Here is a 24,832-nt window from a genome sequence, read left to right on the forward strand (position 1 = left end):
AAAAGGAACACCCCCCAACTCCATCTCTAATCCCACATAATTAGCTCTCTGATTGCCAGTGCTGGGCAGGAAACCTCCTGTTTGGAGAGGGATTTTGGACAGAAAGATTAGGCAAACACTATGCAGGAAGCTGCGCTGGGAAAACAGGCTGTTCTCAAAGTTTGTTGTTAAAAGAGATTTGTGGTGGGCAAAAGGGCCTGATTCCCTACAGGTGGTCTGAGCTGCCTCTGACCCTGTCGGGTTCTCCAACAAATGGGTCGCTTTTCTTGGCTTTCAAGATCCTCCCTGTGGTGGAGCCCTGCAGTGGGCTCTATCTCCAGCACATGGGGCAAGGAGTATTCCCAGGAAGCACATTCCTTCCTGCTCCCAGGGAGGACTGTGCTTCTCTGCATGGGAGAGGGAGGGAGAGCCGCATAGGCATCTACCCCCACAGGCTAGCTGGGCGATGGTCAAAGGTTACTGAAATATGGCAGGTGACAACAAAACCACCATGACTCCAATCAACCTAGGGAGTGGGAGAAATGCCAGGAAAATGGGGAAACCCCTTCCCTAGAGGCTCTGGGGAGGGCTCCTCAGAGCTGGGCATTGATTCTCCCAGCCAATGTTGTCCTTTGTCCATCTAACAGGCACTGCATTATCATCTGCTAGGCTGAGGGTATGCTGAAGGTAATGACATTTTGTTTGTTTCTATCACCTAATTTTTCTTTTTTGATCTTCATGATCATCCTGTGGGGGGAAGTACCTTCCCATAGAAGAGGAACTGAGTCCTGGTGAAAGCACACAACTCCCTCAAAATCACCAAGCAAACAGCTGGGGAGCCTATGCTAAAGTACCAGGCTCCAGGAAGACGGCTGCCCCTGCTCTTTGCACAATCCCACGTCCTCCAGCTCGTGCTCTTTCTGTCTTGAGAGTCTGGGCATTTAGGATGTTGGAGTCAGAGGAGACTGGGGACACCAGCCATCCAAGGGGATTTAGGACTCTGACAGCCAAGGGCTGGTCAACTCCTCTGTGAAGATCTGAAAGTCTGGTGCTACCGTGACGCCCACTTGCAATTCTTGCTGACATGGACTGGAGCTGGCATTCTCAGGCCCTCTAAATAACCTCAGGAGGGCCGGATCTCTGATGCTGCTTCGCCATCTCTGTACTACTCAAAGCCGTAAGATTATTCACTCTGGTTCTCAGAGAGGAAGGGGCAGGAACTGAAGCCAGGGGCTGGTGAGTGGGAGGGTGAACCTGTGCTTCCAGAGCCAGGGAGGGACAGCAGGGGCTGGTGGGCTGGCACTTGGGGGATTTTACAGCCTGCTGGTTGAGGTGCCTGGCCCTGCTCCTCCACCATGGCTTCTGCAGTGAGCTCAGGACATGGGGGAGGGAGCCAGGCCATGGATGGATTCCAGATGGGCTATCAGGTTTGCCCACAGTCGACTGTAAGGCTCCTCTGGTCTCGGCAGCTCCCTCAGCTCTGATTCAGCTGCACTCGGAAGGCCTGCTATGGAATGCCAGTGAAACCCAACCCGTCTCTCCCACCAGAGCCTCCCTCACTCCTTCTGCTACCAGAGATAGATAGCATGTTTTTTCTCTGTCCCTTCTTCCCTTCATTAGTACAACCCCCCCCGCCCAGAAGTAGAAAGGGTTATTGCGGGGAATTTAGTTGACAGCTGGGCCTCTGGCTCTGGAGCTCTGAACTATTTCCCCCTGGGAAGAGTAGCTGTATAAGGTTCTGGGTTCAAGTTCTGGGTATTTGAGAACAGTGTGCTTGTAAGGAGAGCCACGGGGTGGAGGAGAAACTCCTTGTGTCCCTCTGATTGCCAGATCAGTCTAGCTGGCCCTGACCCAGGCATGGGAGGGAGGAACACAGAACTAGGTAGAACACGGCAGCCAGATATCTGATACTCAACAGCATCTCATTGTTGCGTGGCTTCCACACAGGAACGTCATCTCATTCAATCTGCCCAACAGGCTGGAAGAAAGACAAGCCTTCTTTATCCCCAATCTGCAGACAGATATACCAAGGCTCTGAGAGGTTTAGAGCACAGATTTGGTTTTGGTCTCCTGAATCTTGCCATAAACATTTTTGAGGACCTGCTATGTGCTAAGGATAGCATTCATGCTCTGGGGCACAGAAACAAATGCAACACAGATCATGCCACAGAAACCAGTGCTGTTTTCCTATGTCACATAATTCATAGATTAATTATTCTCAGAGAGGGCCCACTGGGCCTTGTACTATAATAGACTTTTACACGTCCCCATCTCTCCACTGCTATTTTAAAAAGATCAAGTTCATTTCTACCTTGTAGAGACAGGAAGGAATTACTGCAAGTGGCATGAGGGAATCACATCAGGATTTCCTGCCTCAGTTTCCCCTTTGTTATCAAAATTCTGCTTTCTGGTGATTTGCTTCTGGAGTTTTCAGAATATTCCATCTCAGCCTCCTCCACCCAGAGCTGCTGCTCCTAGTCGCCCAGGTCTGCCTTGGATCCTTTGTTAATGACTGGCAGGCTGGAGGTGATGTTGCCTTATCAGGGTTGATTAGTTGGGCTGAAATTTACATTTTGCTTCAGAAAACCAGTCTGGAATCTCTGGCAGAAAGCAGCAGGGATCCAGCTTCAATAGAGAATGCCCCTGAGGCCCAGGCATTTGAATGAACCACAGAAGCCTTTTCTACCCTCTCCCTCTCCTTCCTCAATCCCCTTCTCACCTCTCCCCTCACACCAGAAGGCTGGTGAACTGCAGCAAAGGGCTCTCTGAATGTGCTTGCAGAAGAAAAGGCTTTATTTTATTTTTTGCTTCTTCAAAGAAAATATGAAGCTCCCTCCAGCCTCTCTGGAGAATCAGCTAGGGAACAGTCTGTCTCAAAATGCCATTAAAACATCTCTCAAATTAAAAACAGTCCTGAAATGTGCAACTTCACGAGAGAGTAGATTACTAATACGCAAATGGTGGACTCTGACCACCTGAGGGCACGGACGAGTGGCCAAGGCTCTGTCCTATGGTGCACGAGTGTCCTTGGGCAGGACATTTAGCCTCTCTGAGCCTCAGCTTCATCCCATTAATAATAATAAAAAAATTGTTATCTTCCTCCTCCTTAATTTCAGGGTGCTTTGGAGGGAGAAGTGGTCCTGTTACTCTCAGAGATAACGGTCTTGGTTCTCATCACATTCATCTCCAGCCTCTCTCCCCTGCCCTCCCTTTTTCTCCACAGTCATGGTGCTATTTTAAGTTGAGGCTTCCAGCCAAAATCTGTACTTTATTAATTACGCGTCAACTACTCTGTGTCATGTTTAATGCATTTTCCAGATTGTATTGAATCCACAGTAAAAGGAGGAGTCTGAATGTGGCCTGGGTGCCTGGCAGGGTAGGTGCTGGGAGGAGAGGGGGAGCAGGAGCCAGCCTGTGTGTGCCTCAACTTGATCTCTCCCCTTCTTCGCCCTGGAGTCTCCATTGAGGCCAAGCGTAAATCCTGCTTGTAGCTCCTTAGAGCTCTCTATTTAAAGAACACGCAGCACCCTGTGTAGAAGCACAGCACCCTGATGGGAAGGTAGAAAAACCTGCCTCATTAGGAAAGGCCAAAGGGCTCAGGACAGCTGACATCCATTAGCAGGAAGGGCAGAAGGCTGAGGGTGATTGGAAAATGTGACTCAGTGATATGCCAAGGGAAGACTGGAGATGACACTGACCATCTGTTCTTCTCCAAAGAGGAGGTAGAAATAGCATTTGTATTGGAGCAGGAGAGATGTGAGCTAGACCTGGGTATTACATTCCTGACTGCTAGGTTTCCAGAGCTGTTTCTAGCTGTGTGATTTGGGCAAGTCCTTCAGTTTATTGGGCCTCAGTTGACTGATATATAAAATTAGCATTTACTCAAGGTGAGCCCTGAGGTCCTTTCTAGCTTTGGCCCTTTGTGCTTCTTTCTTTGAGGAGACTATGGGGAGAAGCAGAATCTTTTTAGGGGAGTACAAAGATGAATCCTGCATGCTTCTTGATCTCCAGGAGTTCACAATCAGGCAAGGAAGGCAGATAAACTATGAAATAAACATAATAACAAACAGGTACTGTTCCGTGTGCTTTACCTGTATGAAGACATTAAATGCCTACAATAGCTCTATGAGGTAGGTCCTGTTATTATCTCTGTATGCCTGATGAAGAAAGTAAGGCATTGAGAGGTTAAGTAGCTTGCCCAAAGTCATACTCCTAGTAAGAACAGAGCCAGGTTTTGAGCTCAAATAATCCCACTCCAAAGTCTGTGACATTCACCACTGTGCACACTGCCTCTAACAAAGAAATACAAGCAACTCACATACAAGGCTGACTCTGCTAAGTGCTGTAACCAATGATAAGAAATGTGGGATTATAGAGGGGCAAATCAGGAAGGCTTCACTGAGGAGGTGTGATATAACTTAAACCTGAAAGGACAGGGCACTTCATCAGGCAGAGAGAGGGAGGCATGGCAGGGACAGCTTGAGTCAAGACATAGGCATGGACTGACCCTTGAGCCAAGGCACAGGGGCACTTAGGGAAGAGGGAGGGATTGGCAAAGCTGGAAGAACAGGGTGTGAGTGTGGCAGAAGTGGCATGGGGAAGGGATGTAGGGAGGGATAAACTGTTTCTGGTGGAGGGATGCCAAGACCTTGCTCAAGAGACTCAGCTATACCCTACCTACAAGCTGCGGAGAGCCATTAAATGATATAAAAAATGTGAAAGCTAACTTAGAGAAGGCAGGGCAGGAGCCAGCACAAGTTCAAGAATAGATAATAAAAGTCTCAGCCTGGGCTGGGGGAGGGAGGTGGAAAGGAGGGCAGGTGAGGGAAAAGATGAACAGACAAGATTTGGCAGCAAACTCAATGTGGGAAATGAGAGAGAGGGAGCAGTATGGGAGTTAGAGAGCTCACCTTTGCCTGGGATGGCTGGTGGGAAATGTGGATGGGTGGCCCCAAGGGGCATGGGGTAGGGAGCTCTAAACTGTGCATATTAGGGATGAGACAGAGAGGCTGACAAAGCATTTACAATTCAGCTTAAATATTGCTTCCCCAGGAAGCTTTTCCTGATCCCTTTTCTCCCAGTAGTTCTGGTTCCCTAGTTACAGGTTCCCATGCTGCTTATTGAACTTTGGACATCTCTACAACACTGGCCAGCCATGTAATAAGCAGTTATTTGTGCAACAACTTGCTGGTGTCCTTTCTCCCAACCATCCTTTGTTTTGTTGAGTTTGGTGTCCCCAGTGCTGAACACAGTGCCTGGCAAGTCGATGCTCCATAAATTCTTGCTAAATGAATTGATGATCTCTGCCTCTGGGCCAGATGCCCTTCTCCCACTCTTGGATGTCAGCATGTGGGGGGCTTCTCATCACCACCCCCACAAAGGGGCCGCTTCCCCCCATGGAGCACAGGAAGGCAGGTGTATTCATGTGTTCACCTGTCCACTCTGCCCACACTTGTGGGTTCTGACGCTTCCATACAGTGTTGCCGCATGGCAATAATGAACAATTTAGCATGGAAATTGACCTTAGCAGGAAGGGGCTGGCATGTGTGTGCCCCATTAGAGAGCATTTGGTTAGGGGACACCTTTAGCCCTGCAGGCTACAGGGGAAGACTTCTGTGATTCCCCTTCCTGGGCAAGCCCCTCCCAGCCCAATCCACCTCTGCCTCTTTTTTGTTCCCCAAAACCCTCTTCTGCTCCATTCACCACCAACATCTACCTGAGGAGGCGGAAGAGGAGAAACAAGAGCTCTGCCCCTACTCCCTGAACCCTGTTCAGGACTCTGCAGTTCTTTGCTCCGCATGCCCTAATGCAAAAGGTAAGAGCAGAGGTGAGCCTTCCTTCCCTTCCCTCTCATAGGGAGGTTTAGTACCAGTTGCTTTTTGGTGGTGTCTTCCATTGAGGGCCAGTTCCAGACACCTTCTAAGAAATACTTTCTTTCCAAATCCCCACAGAATTTGGAGGGAAAAGGGAAGATGAAAGTATCTGATACCCTTAGAAGTGGAATAATTTGGCTCCTTAAAAAGCCAGGGCAGGGACCATCTTTGAAAACACCTAAGATAGAGAAAACAAACTCTGTTTTAGAGGCTGGGCTGAGTGAAGAAGCTGGAGCTCCCTTCATGCAGGTGCCAAACCCAGCCCTCCTCGCCTTCAGATCCCTGGGCGTCAGTCCGGCAGCGGCTCCCTGGGGGCAGAGGAGGGAGCTCCTGAGGAAGTACTTAGCAGGCGCTGCCTGACTCTAGCGGCACTAACGGATTCTCTTATCTCGCCGGGACCCTTGTCTGCAGATCGGCAAAGCTGCAAGGAGGTGGCAGGTTAAAAATACTCTGTTAGCAAAGAGGCTTAGGTGGGGGCCTTGCCAGGGGAATTACAGTGATGAGAGGCCTCTGAGGCGGGAAGTCAGGGACGGAACCAAAGCTGCTGGACCCTCCGCTTCTCTTGTGCCCCCTGTTTGAATTTGCCGCAATGATTGGCAAAGGCCTGTGGAGATGGAGGGATTAATGTTGCCTCTTTTCTAAGGCCTGGGGAGCCATGTAGCAAATGAGGACCATGGCAGTCACCTGGCCTCCCTCCTTCTCAGCCTGGAGCTTGGGCATCCTTGGCATGCCAGCAGATCTCTGGTGGGTGCACCCAAGCCCTCATTCATCTTATAGCTTATGTTCTCTTACCCAGGAAAAGGAAGTAAGTCTCAGAGGGGAGGAAATAATAGTACCCTGTGTTTAGAGAATGTTTGTACTGTGTCTGAGTGTTTCTACATAGAATACCTCATTGCACCCTCACAGCATGCCTGTGAGGTGAGGATTACTACCCCGGTTTTATATTTGGGGAAACAAGGCTCTGAGAGTTTATGAGACTTGCCCAAAGTCACACATCTAGGAAGTGGCAGCGTGGACTTCAGTAAGGGCTTTCTGATGTCCTCTCTAGGGCTCTTCCTGTATCCTCCATTCTCTCCACGATTTTGTTCGCCTTAACCCTCCCATTAGGAAAACAACAACGGGGCAGCTTTCGTCAATAGCCTCTTTCAACTTCATCTGTCTCAAAACCCCGCAAGCCCAGCTACCCCTATGTGGTCTGGGGCTGGTCCAACCCTAAGCTGGTCTTGGGGTCCCTGGTCTCCACTCCCTCAGGACCAGAAGGCAGCTTGAGCAGTGGCGTCCCTGCCTCACCTCAGAACTACAGAGTTCCAGGACTGAGAGCGGCCTCAAGCCTCCGGTGACTTCATCCTCTCCCACGTGGGCCAGGACATCTGGGTCTCATTTTTTGATCAGAGAGAACAAATGTTCTACAACTCCCATTGGCAAGCTGATTCAGTGCTTACTGTACTCCTCCCTCCTGCTCAGAAAGGTCCCCACTAAGGTTTGACTTCCTGCTACAGCTGAGGGCTCTTTCTTCCATACCGATGAACTGAGAGTTACTTCCCATGCGTAGGCCTCATCTCTAATTGTCCAAGGAGAGAGAACTCTGAAAAGGGAACCCCTCCTTCCCCACCACCCCACCTTTACAAAGAAATCATAAGGGCAGATTATGTTTCTCACATTAAACACAACACAGAAAGGAATCAACCACAATAGTGAGATTTTGAAAAAGGGAAAAAAATCTCGATAACATCAGCAACTAGTGATGGGAGTTCCATTCCCAGTCACAGATTTGCTACAACACACCTTCTCTCCGAGAGATTTCTGGCTTAGGTGACTGTCCTAAGAGCAGATGTTAGGCTGGCTTGGACCTAAGGCAGCCAACTGGTCTGCATTGCTGGAACCCTCAGCAGGCTCAGCCCACTGAGCTGGCAGCAGGGATCCCAAAAGACAAAAAGACATGATCATTGACCTGCAGGTACTTCCTGAAGATCCAATAAGGAAGGCATTCAAATACAGCTTGAATGCCTCCTGTGCAAAGTATGGTGCTATGCACAGAATGCTGAGTATGATCTAGTCTTTGACCTTAGCAGCTTGTTTTGAGAGGGAGCAATACAGGTAACTAAGAGGCTTAATGACAAATGCACATGGAGCAGTTTGGAAAATGCCTCTGAGTTCAAAAGAATGAGAGATAAAGTCCATGGGTTCCAGGGTGAGGAAAGGAAAATCAACAAATGTACAAAGTTTATAACAATGAAAACCGCAAAGAACACAGAATGAGAACTTCATGCATTGATGTAAGAATTAAAGGTGCCATGTGGAGTGGGAGGAGAGGGGAAACACATATTGAAAGAAACCTAGAAGGAAGGGTCTCTTTGTAAATAGATGGATTCTAAACCTCTGGTTTCGGTTCCTCACACTTCACCTGGCTTAGGCATAGCACTCCTTCCTCCTCACTCCAAACCATGAAGCTCTCAGCACAATGGAATTCTGTGTGTTGCTGCAACTCCGCACCTGAGTCTGCACCTGGGGCTACTGAATGAGAGAGGGAGTTCCCAAAATAGAGAGCAGAGCTTGGGGCTACGTTGGAATGTCAGTTTGCTGACTGCCAGCCTCTCTAGGTTGCTGGGGATAAGCATCAACTAGGCAAAGGAAATCCATGTATGATTTCCAAGCTTCACTTATCTCAGTGCTGAATTTTAACCTTATTCTCTCAGTAAATCTTGGACCACAGCTCCTAATGAGGACTCCCCTGACTATGGCGATTTTATATTTTCTGGAAGAAAAGGCTGAGAGGAAGAGAGGAACAGGAAGGGAGAAAAGAACACCAGGAAAATCTCTGCCCTCTCTCCCACACCCCCCTCACAGCAAAGTGGGCCGCTAATGCATTAATTAACTAAGTAGTTTTGAATGTACTCCATTGCACCTCATTGTCTGCAGCTGCCATTCCCTGGAGGAGCCATAATATGCTCAGTGCACACTATATAATTAAATATCAACACGTGTCCCCTGCCCAGTGCTGGGATGCGTATTTACTTGCGTTAATGAGAACCAGAATGGCCTTACTGATGAGAGGCCCATAGAGGTAGGAGGCAAGGAGCACGTCTCCTGAAATTGAGGTCCATATGCCCTAGCGCCCTGCTCTTCTTACTCCCCTACCACCTCCTCCCAATATCCTGTCCCCAGAAGGCCATCTCAGGACCCCTGGTGGAAGCTTTTCACAAGACCACAGGCCAAAGTGCCATCAGCTGCGCTCTTCCCTAACGGGAGTGAGCAGCAGCAGCCCGCACGTGGTGCATAATGACTATGTTTCTGCTTAATACAAATTGTGGTTATTTAGCAGCCCAAATACCAATTCCCTACTGAGATCCCTGTCGTTGAAACCCCACACACATACACAGACTCAGCAGACACAAACACAAGCACCTGCATGCTGACCCCCCATTTGCCACTCCTCACCCCACCCAACACAAATCCATTACAGAATTGCTCTCTGGCTTGGGGTCCCAGAGTTATTAATACTGAGATGGGTGACAAAGTGAATGTGCTATATGCAGCAGCTTGATGGAACCCAAAGGCAGGTCTTTAGAGTCAGAAGACTGTGGTTCAAATCCTGGTTTTGCTACTCATGGGCTGTGAAACCTTGGGCAAGTTCCGCAAGCTTCTAGGGCTTTCATCTACTTATGTGGAAAGTAGGGACAGCGATACCTACACCATTGGTGAGAACTAAAAGGTGTAATTTAGGAGAAGTGGTTCTCCTTAAATGTTCATATTTGTCTCCCTCTCTTTTCCCCTCTTCATATATAGCCACATCTGGATAGCGAGTAGAGGTATTCTGTCCAGAGAAGAGGAATGGACTATGAGGATGTAGCAATACCTTCCCTCAGATTTCAGTTAAAATACACACATTCCAATTTAAAACAGGGCACTAGAATGCAACAGGTGCTGATCTGTTTTGTTCACTGATGTATTCCTAACATCTAGGAGGGTGACCAACACATAGGAGGTGCTCAGGAAATATTTACTGAATAAATGAATGATATTCCATCTCTTATTCAATTTGTATAATAATGCCATGAGGGGGAGTCTATTGCCCCCACTTTGCAGAAGAACAAATAGGCTCAGAGAGCTTAAGTGCATTGCTCAAGGCATACAGCTAGCCTGGGATATAAACTCAGGTGTCTGCCTCAAATGTTCTATCTGCTGCTTTCAGCAGGCCCTCAGAGACTAGGGAGTCTCTAAAAGGGAAAATAAAGACAAAAAGAAGACAAAGAGTATGCGGGGTTTTTTTTTTTTTTTTTTTTTTTTTTTAGAATGACAGGTAGTGCTCCTGAGAGACTGATGGCTCAACACAGTTCTAATGAGCCATCTGTGGCCAGGTCATGCTATCCCAGTGAGACCCAATCTCAACCAGGACATGAGGCCAGAGAAACAGGACTTCTCAGCAGGCACAAGAAGCAGGACCTCTGGGAGTCAGAATACCAGGCTTCTCCAGGATCACGGACTCTCAACTCCACCCCCATATTCATTTCAAAAGATACCCTGCCCTTCGATGGTTTTCTATAAGGCCAAGCTGATCATCCACCCGGCTTGCACTCTTTTTCATGAACTCCCTAGAGAGGGTCTTGATTGTCCTCACTCTGGCCTGTGGATGCTCTCAGACCAAGTTATTGAACATGGAACAGCTGGGCTGGGGTAAAGGCAGACTCCTCCCTGCACTGAGCTCCTCTGTGTGCCCCAGAGAGAGCTCAAGGGAAAAAGAGGCTCTGAGGCTGACCTTTGGGAGTCAAGGGCAGGCAGGAGGTGACAGGCACACGTTGTAGATGCAGACAGGACACACATTCAAAAACCGATAAACAAGTGCAGATTAACGGAGTGATGACAAGACACAGGGAGAGTTCGGACGGGTCACACATGATCAGCAAGTCTGGACCATCAGCCTTGTCTGTGGGCATAACTTTAACTCGTCATGAATATTTCTCTGTCTTCCATGGCAGACTTGATGTTGCTGGGACCTAGCCCCAGGGCAAATTACTGCTGCACCCAAAAGTCTATTTTGGGTGTACGTGGCCCTGTTTGGGAATAAACAGAGCCCCTGTCCTAGAAGGTATGCCTGGTGGGCAAGTGGACAAAGGGCTGGAGCACCAGGAAATCAGAAGACTTGGATGGGAAAGTCACACTGGGGTCCACAGGGAGAGATTCTGGAGTGGAAGAAAGATTGGGGCAGAAGAAAAGAGACAGCATGTTCAACAGGTGAGAAAAGGGGCTTCTATCAGCAGACAAGATAACCAATCTGAGAAAGCCAGGGAACCTGGATTCTAGCCCCGATTATGGTGCAAATCAAGTATAGCCTTGGGCAAATCACTTATCTTCTACAGTCTTGAGTTTATAAAATGAAAAAAAAAAAAGATGACTTAGATTGGATGAACTCTAAAATCTGTATTGACTATTAAGAAAAAGTTTCAAAGTCCAAACTTAATGCTCCCTTCCTAAATGTCTAGACTTTTCTAGTCACTGACAACCACAGACACCAGGACCTCCAAGAACTTTCCCAGCTAGGCGTGGGGTGCTCTGTGCATCCCTCATTAGATATTCACCACCTCTTCTCAGTCCTCAGCCCCCCTTCATTTCCCCATATGCAGATGGCTTTGTTTTCCAAACCTGATAGATGCTGATAGGTATATTGTTCTCAGCATCACCAGACTGCCAGAGGCTGCTTAAGTCAAATGATTTTCTTTCCGCTAATAACTTGGAGGATTTTTTTTCTTAAAAGGCAAAAAAATAGGCCATTTTTAATGCCTCTATTTTACCTTAAAGAGACAGAGTGTCATTTATCTTCCTCTTAGCCCAAAGTCAAATGAAAGAAGCATTAAACAAAGACCAGCCTGCCTTGAAGCAGTCATTTGTGACTGGAGGCTGGGGAGAACTAGCATGGGCCTTGGGGACCATCTCCAGAGACTGGTGATTGACAGGCAGGGGGAAGCAGGGGCGGGTGGATCTGAACCACGGCCAGGAGGAGAGGCACAGCCACCCACAGAGGCAGGGGAGCAGGAGGCCCTGTGGGGCTGGATGCCTGCCAGAGCCGGGGCATGAGGCTGGCTAGCAGGCAAGAGCTGTCTGTGGGCATGTTCATAAGGGGCTAGTTCAACCAAGCACAAGAAAATGGAATGAATCCGATGTGATCAAAGCCCAATAGGTTTCATGGTATGATTTCATGACCCCAGTGTTATTCTGGCCTTTGAAGTAGGAATAAGTACTGTCAAAAATTGCCTTTTACCCTATAATCTACATTGTTTTTAATGAACAATTAACCATTATTGGTTGATGCATGAACCAACAAGTGTTTTAAGTGCCTCCGGAGTGATAAATATCCTGGCAGTATAAACAGAAATAAAATAAATAAAATAAAATAAAATAAAATATAGTCCTTGCTCTCAAGAATCCTACAATCCAGTGCAGAGAGCAAGACAGAGGAAGAAAAATAACAAGAAGTAATGCCAGTGAGCAAATGCTGAATATTATAGAGGATGGTCTTGCAGGAATTCAGGGATATCAGTGGAGGCTGAGGAAGGAAGACTTCCTGGAGGGGGTATTATTCCCAATGCAGGCTGTAACGAGTGGTAACATCTCATGATGGGCTCCAATCTGAACCAGGGGACATAGATTAAAGGTAAGTAGGTAAGCTTCCTTAGCATTTGATAAACTTGGGAAGAGGCAAGTTGTCCTTATCAAAGAAGAGCAGTGTGGTGGTAGTGCAGGGTGCCATGTTGGCACTGTCACAGCTTGAACCTGAAGGACTAGTGAGATTTGAGCATGCTGGGGAAGGGCTGGGGTACTTTCAGTCAGAGGAGATGGTGAATGCAGTAATGATAATAATAACAGTTAACTTTTACTAAATGCTTACTACAGCCCAGATACATTTTAAAGGTTTGATATGTACTCTATCATTTAATTCTCAAAATACATTTAATCCTCAAAATAAATTCTGAGTTAGTCCCCCATTGTAGCAGAAGGAAAATGGGGGCAGTAGGAGTTTAAGAAACTTGCCTAAGTTACCTAACCTGCTCGCTAACCTCTGATCTCTTTAACTATTAAATGTTGGTAATAGGCCTAGCAAGATGGCTCATGCCTCATCCCAACACCTTCATGCCTCATCCCAGTGCTTTGGGAGGCCAAGGCGGGAGGATGGCTTGAGGCCAGGAGTTTGACACCAGTCTGGGTAACAGAGTGAGACCCTGTTTCTGCGATAAATAAATTTTTAAAATTAGCCAGGCATGATGTGGCATGCGCCTGTAGTCCCAGCTACTTGGGAAGCTGAGGTGAGAGGATCGCTTGAGCCCACGAGATCCAGGCTGCAGTGAGCCATGATTGCATCACTGCATGCCAGCCTGAGTGACAGTGAGACCCTGTATAAAAAGGAAGTTTTTTTTAAGATGATAATAATAGCTCTTACCCTAATAGGATTATGTGGTGAGAATTAATTTAAGAAAATGCATATGATGCATAGTGCCTGGGGCACATAGTAGGTGCTCAGTACATCTTAGCAGTTATTACATTGGTGCAGAAGTAATTGTGGGTTTTGCCATAAAAAAAAAAAAGGCAAAACCCGCAATTACTTCTGCACCAATGTTGTGCAGTGAGATAAGCACAAAGCAGTGTCAAAATAGAGAGCTGGGGGGAAAACAGGCAAAAACCACAAAGACTTTTGCACCAACGTAACAGCAGCCTGAAGAGTGGCTCCAAAGGAAAGATGCACATATTGTTTGCAGACCTATGTGAAAACCACTGTTTGGGGCTCTGTTATTTGCAGAGGTAATGTTTTGGGTTGGAGGAAGTACTGTGGAATTGGAAAGGTTGGTGGGGTCATATTGTGAAAGACCAGGGATCCCTGGACTTTGCTTTGTAAAAAGTGTGTTCTGTTCTTCCTTCAATTTCTAGCTCTCTACTTTGACATTGCTTTTAAAAACAACTCCTAAGTACTTCCAAGTTACCGCTGCCCCCTCCTCTTCCATCTCCTCTGCCTGCTAGTTGTGCCCACAGCACTGCCCCCATCCGCAGATGACACCTGGGGGTCACAAGGGTCTGACCTCAGCTCTGGGCAGGCTGAGCCGAGCACATGCCCTGACACTTATCTCACCGCTGGAAAGCTTGGCTTCTGAGTTCTTGGGTGGCAACTATCCCAAGGAAGCTGCTTTCTCTTTATAACAGATTCTGGAGGGCTGAGGGAGCTGATCTCATCATGTCCTTGGATGGTACTATCCATCTTGGCAGAAGGGAGGGCTGAGAGTGCTCAGGCCTTACCTGGGAGTCCCTGCAGGAGCCTGCACAAAGCTGTTTTTTTGTGTTCAGGGGACACTTTTGGGCAGCATTAGAGAAGAAAGGAGTAACTGGGATACTCTGGGGACGGCTGGCTGGCTGCAGAAGATGGGTCCTTCTAGCAGCTCCCAGTGAATATGACTAATCAGTTCAACATCACAGAAAGAGCCCAGGCCTGAGAGGGAGAAGATTAACAGCGAGGTGACTGTGAGCAAGTTACTGCCCTCTAGGCTGGAGCTGCCTCACTGGCATATCTGAGAGGCAGTGTTGGGTAGTGATTAAGAGCAAAATCTACAACCAGTATTGCTAGATTGGACTCCTGGCTTTACCACTAACAAGAGCAGGGCTCTCAGCCTCTATAAGCCAAATGCCCTCATTTGTAAAATTTCCTTATTTCAAATCCTGTCGGTGCAAGATTAAGAGTTAATATATACAAATAAAGTACTTGGAACAGTAGATGGCACAGAAAACATTATGTGTGTTTACTAGTATTACGGCCACTAGTATTAATGCCTTTACTGCCATATCGAGGATGTTGGATTAGTGAGCCTTTGAAGGTCTCTTAAAAAGTCTGCAGTTCTATTTCCCTGCACTATGAGCCCCGTTTAGATTTCAGACTTAATCTAGCATTTGCTGAGTGCTTACTATATATGAATATATTATCTTATTTAATCCTTGCAACAAGCCCTGTGCATCCCATGTTATTATGTTCATTAAGAACTGAGAAAATCGGAGCTCAGAGAATCTAAGTGAAGTTCTCAGAATCACACAGCTAGCACACGGCCAAGCAGGATTCACCTGCAGTCCAGCCCAGCGTTCTTTCCAGTCTACCAGCAAGGGGACAAAGGATCAGTTCTTTGCTACCAAGCTGTCATATCTGTCCAAGAATAAGGGCCAAGGCTTCTGTTCCCAGCAGATCTCGTTCTGGGGCTGTGCATGCTGAGCCTGTCTCAAGGGTGAGTGGAGGATTTGCCAATGAAAATGTTACCAGCTGAACTAGCATTGGCCAGCCATATTGGGGCCAAGAAGGAGGAGAACTAAAATTAATCCTCTCATTACCAGTCTGACCTGCAGAAGGATGAGCAGCACCAAGCCAGGAAGAAGAACTCCAGCAACATCTGCTGCTGCTTGCTCGACTTTCATTTCCTCTGCCCCTCCTGGGAATGCCATGCGGGTACCAGGATGCTGAGATGTGGTGCATGTGCGCACCCCCACTCACACAGAAGCACATATGCTGGAGACAGAATTAGGAGCCCGCTGAGATAGCGCTTTGAAAAGAAGAGAAGTTGGTGGAATATGTGGGTTTTCTCCCTTGTGCCAAGTCCCCTCTGAGAAGGGTATTTGGATCAGAGGTAGAATCTCTGAGTCATGACGTGACTGGTTTTTGCAAATGTGTCTAGGCCACTTGCCTGGTCATGGAGGGGTCCTGCCCACTGGCAGACCTCAGCTCCTGTCGGTGAGGGGCTTTGAGTATGGAAAAGAGAGGAGTGGGGACTTGCTATGGCCTGGCAGCCAATGGTTGTGTGTGGGGTTGGGGGCTGGAGAGAGAAGGGCTAACTCTTTGGAAAGCCTGCCTGCTTGTTCTATTCTTGCAGAGGCGCCTGGGGGAGGGAAGGAGGAACACAGAAGGCAGAGTCATAAGGAGACGCCGCGGGTGGGGGTGGGAGGAGGTAAGGGCTGTGGAGGGAGGGAAGAAGGCATTGTCAAACTCTCTGGATGGTCATCAGCCAGATGTGGAGACCATATGGAGGAGGCAGGCTGGAGGTGTGCAGGGAGGGGAAGAAGACAAACTGAGGGGAGGAGACTGGGAAGGGCAGAAGAGGCAGGTGAAGGCTGCTGACCTAAGCCATCAGAGTGGGAAGCCGGAGGAGCTCCCATGCCCCCAATAGGCTGGTCCATGCACCAGGGCCACAGGGGTCACCAGGCACTTCTGCTCAAGGCTCAGCCCAGTTTCTCTGCTTTCAGTTCTGAAACTCAAACCCCACAATGCACTCCCTGCTCCACACTAGCCCTTAGGCCTTCTCTCCTCCTCATGTGTTCCCCCCACCTGTATATCCTCAAGTTCACGACTGCAAAGTGACAACAGTGGTGGATACAAGAGAAATTCCCCGAGGAAATGAGCTGGTGTTTCCTGGTCTCCCTCAATGCCTCTGGAATGCAAGGGAAATCGGATTTGGCCCCTGCTGATCTGATACCTCCCTGGTGCTGGGAACTCTGTCCAGCCCTGGCCATTTGCTGCCTCTGGGGGAGCTGGGACAGGTGGGAGCCAGCTGTTGTTAGGACTTTGCACACTAGTGGCTCGTGGGAGCTCCTGTACCCCTTAGAAAACAGAACTCAACAGCAGTGAGCAGACTGGCTGATCCTGCAGGAATCTTTGGGGGAGAAGGTATATGATGAGTGAACCGGAACACCTGGAGACCCTGTACCTGAAGAGCACTCAGGAGCTCCACTAAGGGAGGATGAGAAAGAAGGCTAAAGGGTGGAGGGGGAGAGGGCAGGGATGTGATAAGAACAAAGCGTGAGTCTTCCTACATTCCAACTGGGTCCACTCATCCCAGCTGAGCACCAGACAGTGAACTGTGGACTCCAGTATGGAATACAGCCAGTCACTGGGCAAGAGTCCTTCCTTTCCAGGGGAGGTCTCTTCTTGTTCCCCCACTGTATCCCTCCAGGGCTGGCACATCCTCTGAACATGGACACAAAGGCTCCAGCATTAAAGTAAGAAGAGATAGAGGCTACCTGGCCTGGAGGAAGAGGAAGAATGTAAAATGGCCTCCAAAGGATTCTCTTAGGGTAAAGGAGACCAAACTTTGCCTGTGTCCTGGACAGTCTAGGCAGTCTGATTGGAACTATGTTCTTCTTCTTGGACCAGTCCTTTGTTGAGAAGTCTGAGCTGGAGTCCTGGGGCCAGCTGTCTCCACAACAGGAATCACTGCTCCCCAGGGGAATGGGCTGGAAATCTGGAAAGGTCATCCATAGCCCCAGGGAGCAACAACCTGAGGCCCTGGTTGGCAGAGGTCAGGCTGGAGAATGGCAGTCTTCCTAAGAGAGTGCCTCAGAAAACCTGATAGCCAGAGAAAGAAGACAGGCTGGTTCAAACCATAGTTAAAAGATGCCTAGGGACTCACTAGGATGGTTATAGGGTTGGACACGGGCCGGCTTCCCATTGTGTGGTATCTTGGGGTTTTGTCTGAAGTGAATTGATGGATGGCTCAATTCTGTTTCTGTTGGAACCAACCAGCCTTACGTACCCTCCTTCTCTCTCATAGTTGTCTGGTGCTTTACAGTTTATAATAGGCTTTCAAAGTCAGGTTTGAGTTAAGGTCACAATAACTGTGAAATAAACAAGTAAGGAATTGTTGCCACTTCACAGATGAAAAAATAAAGGTCCCAGGATGGTGCTTCTAGCACTGGTTCCCATCAGCCTTTCCAGTGAGATGACAAGAGCTGGGTTAGACAGGTAAGCCCTGCAGAGGGGTCCCAGTGGCCTGCAACTAACTCTAGACTCATTCATTTCATTTCCACGGGCATGGGTAAGAAGAGGCTGTCACCCCTTCTTTACTCCTCAAATTATGCCTGTATCCACATCTGCCCTTACCTACCAGAGCAAGGAGCCATGGCCAACTTAAGCATGGGTTTCCAGGCTACAAACAACATTGCTACAGATTTTTTCTTGGGGTCATGAAGAATAAGATGCAAAATTAATGAATTACAGGGTCAGAGTTAGGTAGGTACAGGTTGGAAAAGCCTGGAGAAGAATGGAAAATATCAACAAGAAAAAGTCCCACAGTGAGAAACAGACAGTAAGGGGATGCTGTCCAGGTAGATAGAAAGTGCCAGGGAAAGAGGGTGATTTTACCCAGGGACATATAAGTGACTGAGGATGCAAGGGAAGGCCAGCTCCTACTGTGTCTGTTCATGTAGCCCATGCTGAACTAAAAGCTAAAACCTGGCATTATCTTTCAAAATGACACATCTGATTACGTCCCTCACTTGCTCCAAAGACCTTAAAGGGTTTCCCCTTGATAACCAAAGTCCAAACTCTTGAGCACTGACAGTGTAGCCCTAGCCTGCCTGTCAGCTGCTTTCCCTTTTTGCCCTACTCCCTTCCTCCTTGAGTCCTGGGATCCTCTAGCACTGAACCACTCATAGTCCCCTGAACCTGCTGTGCCCAGTTCACCACGGTGCCGGTGCCTTTGCACAGACTGCTTTGGCTGCTGCTAGGGAATGGCCTTTTGCCTCTTTCACAGCTCAAAACTCCTTGCATTACAAACCAAGCTCCATGCACACTTTTCTTTGATGGCTTTGCCGACTCTCCCAGACCTATTCATTCTGCCTGCTTTAGGGCCTCAGCACTGGATACATATTTCTGTCTTGGTACTATTCTATGATGTTCCAATTGTTCATACAAGGAAAGGCTGTAACTGTTAAACACTGTTAATTGTTAAAGGAAAGGCTGTGACTTATTCACCTTTTTGTATTTTTCCTACCTGATGCATTCAGAGTCCAGCATAGTGCCTATCTCAAAACAGATACTCACCAAGCAGAGGACTGATTAGCAAAACAAATTCTGGAACTAGACTGCCTGGTTTGAATCCCTACTCCACCTCTGATCAGCTGTGTAACCTTCAAATCTCTGTGTCTCTGTTGCTTCATTTGTAAATGGGGATAATAATTACAGATACCTCAGGATTATTTATGAGGATTAAAAGAGTTAATACATGCAAAGCTCTAGGACAGTGGCACTTAGCACTAAATGAGTGTTTACTATAATGATTATTATCTTTTGAATAAATGAATAAACAACATGGAATTAGCAAGCTGGTCACATTTTTCCTTAGTGACCTCAAGGGATCGCAGAAAGAGTATAATCTGGTCTAGAGGTGGGAATACAGTTCTGATGAGTGAAACATAAAACAACAGCCAGCAAAAGTCTAACCAATGGGCTGTAGAACTAGATAAGTGGTTCTCAACCGTGGTCCCCAGAGCAGCAGCATCTGCCCCACCTAAGAACTTGTTAGCAATGCAAATTCTTGGGGCCTGCCCCAGCCCAGTGCTAATGAATCAGAAACTCTGGGGGTGGGACCCAGCAATTTGCGTTTTAACAAGCAGTCAGGTGATTCTGATGCACTCTCAAGTCTGAGAATCACTGGGCTAGACTTTGCCCGTCTCTGGTTATCTGTGTACAGTGTGCACCTGGAGATTTCAAACCTCTTACTGCAAAACAGGGGCCTTACCCTGAGGACTTGAACAAACATTAGGCAGAAAACACTCCTGGTAATAGAAGATGATGTGCAATGCATTTAGCACAGCCTCTGCCATTCTATAGGAGCATAATAAGTGTCCATTCCTACCTTCTTTCCTCTTTATCCTACCGAGAGGAGAAAAAAAAAGAGCAAAGGTCACGCTCCCATGGCACTGTTTTTGTGGAATTCCTGAGCTCTTTGGAGTAGAGGGGAGGAGAAAGCTATGGCAAAGAGTTATGAGAAGCCTTGCTTTGAAAATTAATGTACACAATGTGCAGCCAGGTGCCTGTTCCCTACAGGGCATGGGGACAGTGTGCACAGGGACATTGTCACTTTCTGCTGAGCCTGAAGCTCAGCTAGAGGAACAGGTGGGGAAGAATGAGGGTGGGCCTAACTGAGGGAGGAGAGCTTGGCTGCAGCCCAGTGTTCCTGAAAAAGGTTTACACAGTGAGTCAGGCTGGCCCCAGCACCCCCTTGAGGAAGGCCTAAAATACCAAATGAAAGAATAAATCTTCAGGGGTAGGGGCGGGGGTGTTGCCTGCCTCTGCCTTCTCTCCAAGGGGTTCCTATGTGTGCGAGCTAGCAGCACTCCCCCATCTCACACTGCACCTGGGCCCTTGGCCTCCTTGTTGGGAACCCAATTTGGAAGGTATCGAATGAGGGACAATGTAAACACCTGTATCCAGGAGGATGCGAGGAGAAGAAGAGTTCCAATAACTCACCCTTAGGGGAGTGGTTTGCAAAATGTGGTACTCAGATCAACAGCATCAACATCAACTGGAAACTTACAAAATCAGCATTTGGAAAATACAAATTCTCAGGCTCCATCTCAGATCCATTAAATCAGAAATGCTGGGCGTGGGACCCAGTGATCTGTATTTTAATAAGCTCTGCAGGTGATTCGGATGCAAGCTTAAGTTTGAGAACAACTAGTTTAGGGTGTGGGTTGAAGTCTTTTTCTTGGTTTAAAGAGGAGGGACATGTGCTACCACACAAAGGGGCCTTCCCCCTTGCCCTAGCATGTAAGCCCTGACACACAGCATCCCCACAAGCATGACAGCACGCTGGGCCTGGGCTACGGAGAGTCTCTGGTGATGAGGACAGGGGCAGAGGCCCTGTGGGTGGTTATGGGGAGGAGAGAGGCGGGGAGGCTGCCACAACTCATTTTCTCTTAACATGAAAGCCCAGAGGAAGCCTAAGCATCCTCGCCATTGAAGCTGGTAAATTACAGGATGATGATGGTGATATTACCAATAATGATGATAATAGCACCAATAACGTGAGGTCAGACAGGCACTTTCCCGTCCTCGGTCAAGGGGTAAGGTTGCAGCTTTGGTGCATTTGCTTCTGATTTAGAGGAAAACCTGGCTCACAGCCAGCTCCATTTCCCTGCTAGGAGGTGCAGCCGGGGCTTTTGGCTCTTTGTCCTCCCTCCCTTCTGCCGGACCTGTCCTGTGGTCAGGAACCTCCTCCCTCCTGGCATAATGGTCTGCCAAGAGGCAGGCAGCACTCACTCCCCTTCTCCCCCACCAGACCAACCCTTGGTTCACAGACTACACGTCAGCCCTAGAGGTCAAGATCAGAGGGAGAGGCTCAACCTAGATGCTATCCACAGGGTGGGGCAGATGAGGGCCCTGGAGGCTCTATTAGCCTCTCTCAGATAAGCCACAAAGAGAAACTGGAAGGCAAAAACTGTGTGAGTGTTAGGGTAGGAGGCTTCAGCAAATCCATAAATACCTTGAGCTGAAGCCTCCCCTTGGAGATTCTGTACTCTCTCCTGCTGCCCAGGGAAGCCAGAGCAGGGATTCAGAATCTCAAGGAGAGAAAAGGTCATCTGGTAGCATCTTCCTTCTACAGTATCCCCTGCCACCCCCCAACCCCTGCCTAAGGCATCTTTCTTACTCTTCTTTGAGATTTCCCAGGATGAAATACTTCCCCAAATGCTACAGCATTTTCTAGGAGGATCAAAGGGAACAAGCAAATACCCAAGCCCTGGGTCTCTCCCCTCTGGCTGCCTCCTGCCCCGCCCCCACCCTGGGGCTTCAAACACGAGGAAATTAGCACAAGGCCCCCTGTCATCACATGCAGTGACTTGTGAACATGTGCTTGGGTTGTTCCTCCTCCACAACAGGCGGTTTAGAGCAGCTCACTGGGGGCTTGTATTTTTTTTTTTTTTTTTAAATAACTGTGTGTATGTTAAAGTCATTAAGGCTGGGAAAGGGGGTGGAGTGGTAGGAGAGTAAAGGCCATTATATGGGAGGAGAAGAAAAATGGCCTGTCTTCAGGCTGTCAGCAGAAGAAACGCCTCTGCATTCAAGCGGTGGGAGAGGGGCTCCGGTAGGAGGCCTGAGTGGGCACCTCTGCCGGGATGGCTGGGAGCAGGGGCAGAAGGCAGAGAAAACAGGTTCATCACATAGCCTGAGCTTTGGCTGTGGCAGTGGCAGTGGCTATGGCTGCCTGGGTATGGACTGTCACTATTCATTAAAGAGCCACCAAGAGAGAAGAAACCTGGGAAACAAAAACCCAAGAGCTCATGCTTAACTTTCATGTATCAGGCACCGCGTTACACCCTCTGCATCTGCTTTATGTTGAATCCAAACAACATTGGCATCCATCCTAGAAAGGCACTATTATTTACTCCGTTTGGCAGACGAGGAAACTGAGAGTCACAGTGGTTAACTTTACACAGCTAGCAAGGGGTGGAAGAAGTGTGGAGACACGGGTGAGTCTTCAGAGATTTTGTCTGAAGTTGTTGCCCCTCATGAGTATTCGCTGTCATTGCCCCACACCCTAAAGCAATCGAGGGGAACTGGGATGGAAGATATCCCAGGAGGGGTAAAAAGGACTGTGATGAGGGAAATGGGGGTAGGAGGGAAAGGGAGTAACCGCTATTGGCCCTGGCCATGTCAAGCTTCTGGGGTCTCCCCCTGCCCAAGTTTGAGAGGGGATGGCGGAGGCTGACTTCTCTGCGACCCCAAACTCCAGCCTTCCAAGCCTTCCAAAGTTCACTCAGTGAGAAACCTCTAGTGTCCAGGCTCTGAGCCTGTGACCTCTTCCTTCCTTTCAGATTTTAATTTGCTGGACTGGGAGACAAATGCATGTGGGAGGTTCTCTGGAGTGATAGGAACACACTGAGGGCTATAAGAAGCATCAGAGAGGCTTCATGCTGGCTGGGGCCCTGAGGACAATCCCATCTACCACTTCCCGACCCAGGTAGGCAGACCGAGCCTTTTCCTTCTGAGCAAGCCCCTTTCCAGGCACTGCTGTCACCTCCTAAGGCTGAGGAGGGTGGTGGCAGGAGGGTGCAGGGAAGGCCCTGTCTGTTCTCTGGTCTTTCCTTCAGGGGGCCAGACCCTGAGGGGTGCAGCCTAGTTCCCCAGAGCACATGCTCCAAATCACAGCTCCAGTGACAGCTTTTGCTTTCCCAGTGAGGGGGCTAGCTCAGGAGATGAAAGTCTGATCCCACTGGCAGCTCCACAGGCTTCCTTTGCCAAAACACACTGTGAAAAGACCCCTGACCTCCACCTCATACTTTCTCTGCTCCACCTCCCGTCAGCCCTGTTTGCTTCCCTCCTCCCTAGAGAGGGTTAGACAGCCCAGTAATTTAGGGATCACTAGCAAGAAAGGTGCAGAGGTCAGAAGTCAGAGAGGGGCTGGGAGGGGAATCTCACCCCTGCTCTCTGGCAAAACCTCCCACCTCTTTCCGCCATCTGTAGACCAGGCCGTTGTGGGCCCGAGTTCACTGTGAAGGTAGGGATGAGGTCCAGGGATGGGAAGTGGCGGAATACAGAGCGATAGGAGGAGAAGCTGTAATTTTAAATTATGTCCAGAAAAATAGCTTTTGGGAGGCAAATGTTCTCCTCCAACTTTCTTATTTTGAAATTTTGCTAGGAAAGAAAATGTTACACTCCCCTGAGACCGTGTCCCATTTAGGAAGTTCTTTCTATTATCTCATTTCAACTCCTCCCTGCTCTAGCTGCTATACAAACAAAGGCAAATTGACTTAGTGTCTCTCCTGTCTCTTTCACCGTGGCCTGTTCAGTCTAGCTCAGCTCAGCTCAGCTCCAGAGCTTAGAACTCAAGACAAAAGGAATCAAACCAGTAGAAGGAGATGAGCAATGGGTTCATCTCTCTTCCTTAAGAAATCAAAGGCCGGGTGCAGTGGCTCACGCCTGTAAACCCAGCACTTTGGGAGGCTGAGGCGGGCGGATCACAAGGTCAGGAGTTCGAGACCAGCCTGACCACCATGGTGAAACCCCATCTCTACTAAACATACAAAAATTAGCCGGGCATGGTGGTGCCTGCCTATAATCCCAGCTACTTAGGAGGCTGAGGCAGGAGAATTGCTTGCACCAGGGAGGTGGAGGTTGCAGTGAGCCCAGATCGCGCCACTGCACTCCAGCCTGGGTGACAGAGTGATACTTTGTCTCAGAAAAGAAAAAAAGAAAGAAAGACAGAAAAAAGAAATCAGAACCACCAAAAAACTGCAAGAGAATTTTTTGGCAGTTCCATAGCTACTGAAAGCGTCTTGCTCTGCCCATGCGAGTGGCAATGTTGGGACACTGCATTCATGGAATGGAGCTCCGGAAGGGCCTTATGAGGCCGTCTCCTCATTTTGCAGATAGGAAAACTGAGGCGTATTTGCCATCACTCTGCTTGTTTGTAGCAAAACAGGGGCTCTCCTGCTTTCCCCTGTAGTTCTGAGCAAGAAAAGGGGTTTGAAGGGCAGCCTTTCAGCTGGGCAGAGCTGTGCGGGGAGTTTGCATCCAGTACTGCTGGGTTCTAGCCCATTCCTAGGTTGGGCAGCTCAGCCTCTCCTAGAGGAGACTCTGGCTGCTGAGTGACCCGGTGAATTAATGCAGCTTCTGGCTAGGGGTAGGGGACAGTAAAAGCCAAGGAGCCAAGATCAGAAAAAGGAATAGCTTCTTCCCATGTGGAATCAAGCTGGGGCTGCCAACCTCCTAGTCAAGAAAGAAAGCTTTTCCTCTCTCTTCCTCCTGTTTACCCACAGCGACTGGGGGAGGCTGTACAGAGAGGCAGGTTGAATGTATTCAGTCTGGGATAGGGAGGGAAAGTTCCTCTGGGGCTCCCCCTTCGTCTAGGGGAGAGGTCAGAAGAACAAAGGTCACAGATGGACCTGCCATGATATGGGAGGAGGCACATGTGTTGCAGTGAGCCATGGAGGGTGGGGGCACAAGAGTTTGGCAACTCAGACAGGGGAGAAGCCACTGATGGCTTATAAACCAGACAAGGTTCATCCTGAATCCGGAGGGAGGGCAGTGAGAGCCCCATGAACTCACTTTCTTGAATGTCACTAACATTTCATTTCACCCTCACTCTGCCTTCCTGTCTCTTTTTTTCTCTTTCTCCCTTAACCTTCCTCAGCAGGGGATGGGGGAGTAGAGGGAGCCGGAAAGGAGGTCTGCAGGCCTCGTTGAC

General features: G+C 48.6%; 1 protein-coding gene across 3 annotated transcripts in view, besides 5 other annotated features; it reads right to left on the reverse strand.

Annotated features, from left to right (window-relative positions):
* PLXNA2 (plexin A2) overlaps positions 1 to 24,832 on the reverse strand; it is a 222,143-nt gene that overhangs the window by 136,368 nt on the left and 60,943 nt on the right. The window lies entirely within an intron of this gene.
* Positions 784 to 1,296: an enhancer, noted in NCBI's record as "H3K4me1 hESC enhancer chr1:208332738-208333250 (GRCh37/hg19 assembly coordinates)". NCBI's record gives its function as "activates a minimal SCP1, AML or CMV promoter by ChIP-STARR-seq in naive H9 embryonic stem cells {active_cell/tissue: H9 hESC(naive)}" and the evidence as "EXISTENCE:reporter gene assay evidence [ECO:0000049][PMID:30033119]".
* Positions 1,297 to 1,807: an enhancer, noted in NCBI's record as "H3K4me1 hESC enhancer chr1:208333251-208333761 (GRCh37/hg19 assembly coordinates)". NCBI's record gives its function as "activates a minimal SCP1, AML or CMV promoter by ChIP-STARR-seq in naive H9 embryonic stem cells {active_cell/tissue: H9 hESC(naive)}" and the evidence as "EXISTENCE:reporter gene assay evidence [ECO:0000049][PMID:30033119]".
* Positions 16,021 to 16,521: an enhancer, noted in NCBI's record as "H3K4me1 hESC enhancer chr1:208347975-208348475 (GRCh37/hg19 assembly coordinates)". NCBI's record gives its function as "activates a minimal SCP1, AML or CMV promoter by ChIP-STARR-seq in primed H9 embryonic stem cells {active_cell/tissue: H9 hESC(primed)}" and the evidence as "EXISTENCE:reporter gene assay evidence [ECO:0000049][PMID:30033119]".
* Positions 20,577 to 21,133: an enhancer, noted in NCBI's record as "H3K4me1 hESC enhancer chr1:208352531-208353087 (GRCh37/hg19 assembly coordinates)". NCBI's record gives its function as "activates a minimal SCP1, AML or CMV promoter by ChIP-STARR-seq in primed H9 embryonic stem cells {active_cell/tissue: H9 hESC(primed)}" and the evidence as "EXISTENCE:reporter gene assay evidence [ECO:0000049][PMID:30033119]".
* Positions 21,257 to 22,210: an enhancer, noted in NCBI's record as "H3K27ac-H3K4me1 hESC enhancer chr1:208353211-208354164 (GRCh37/hg19 assembly coordinates)". NCBI's record gives its function as "activates a minimal SCP1, AML or CMV promoter by ChIP-STARR-seq in naive H9 embryonic stem cells {active_cell/tissue: H9 hESC(naive)}" and the evidence as "EXISTENCE:reporter gene assay evidence [ECO:0000049][PMID:30033119]".

This window comes from Homo sapiens, chromosome 1 (genome assembly GCF_000001405.40).
Source record: "Homo sapiens chromosome 1, GRCh38.p14 Primary Assembly".
NCBI lineage: Eukaryota > Metazoa > Chordata > Mammalia > Primates > Hominidae > Homo > Homo sapiens.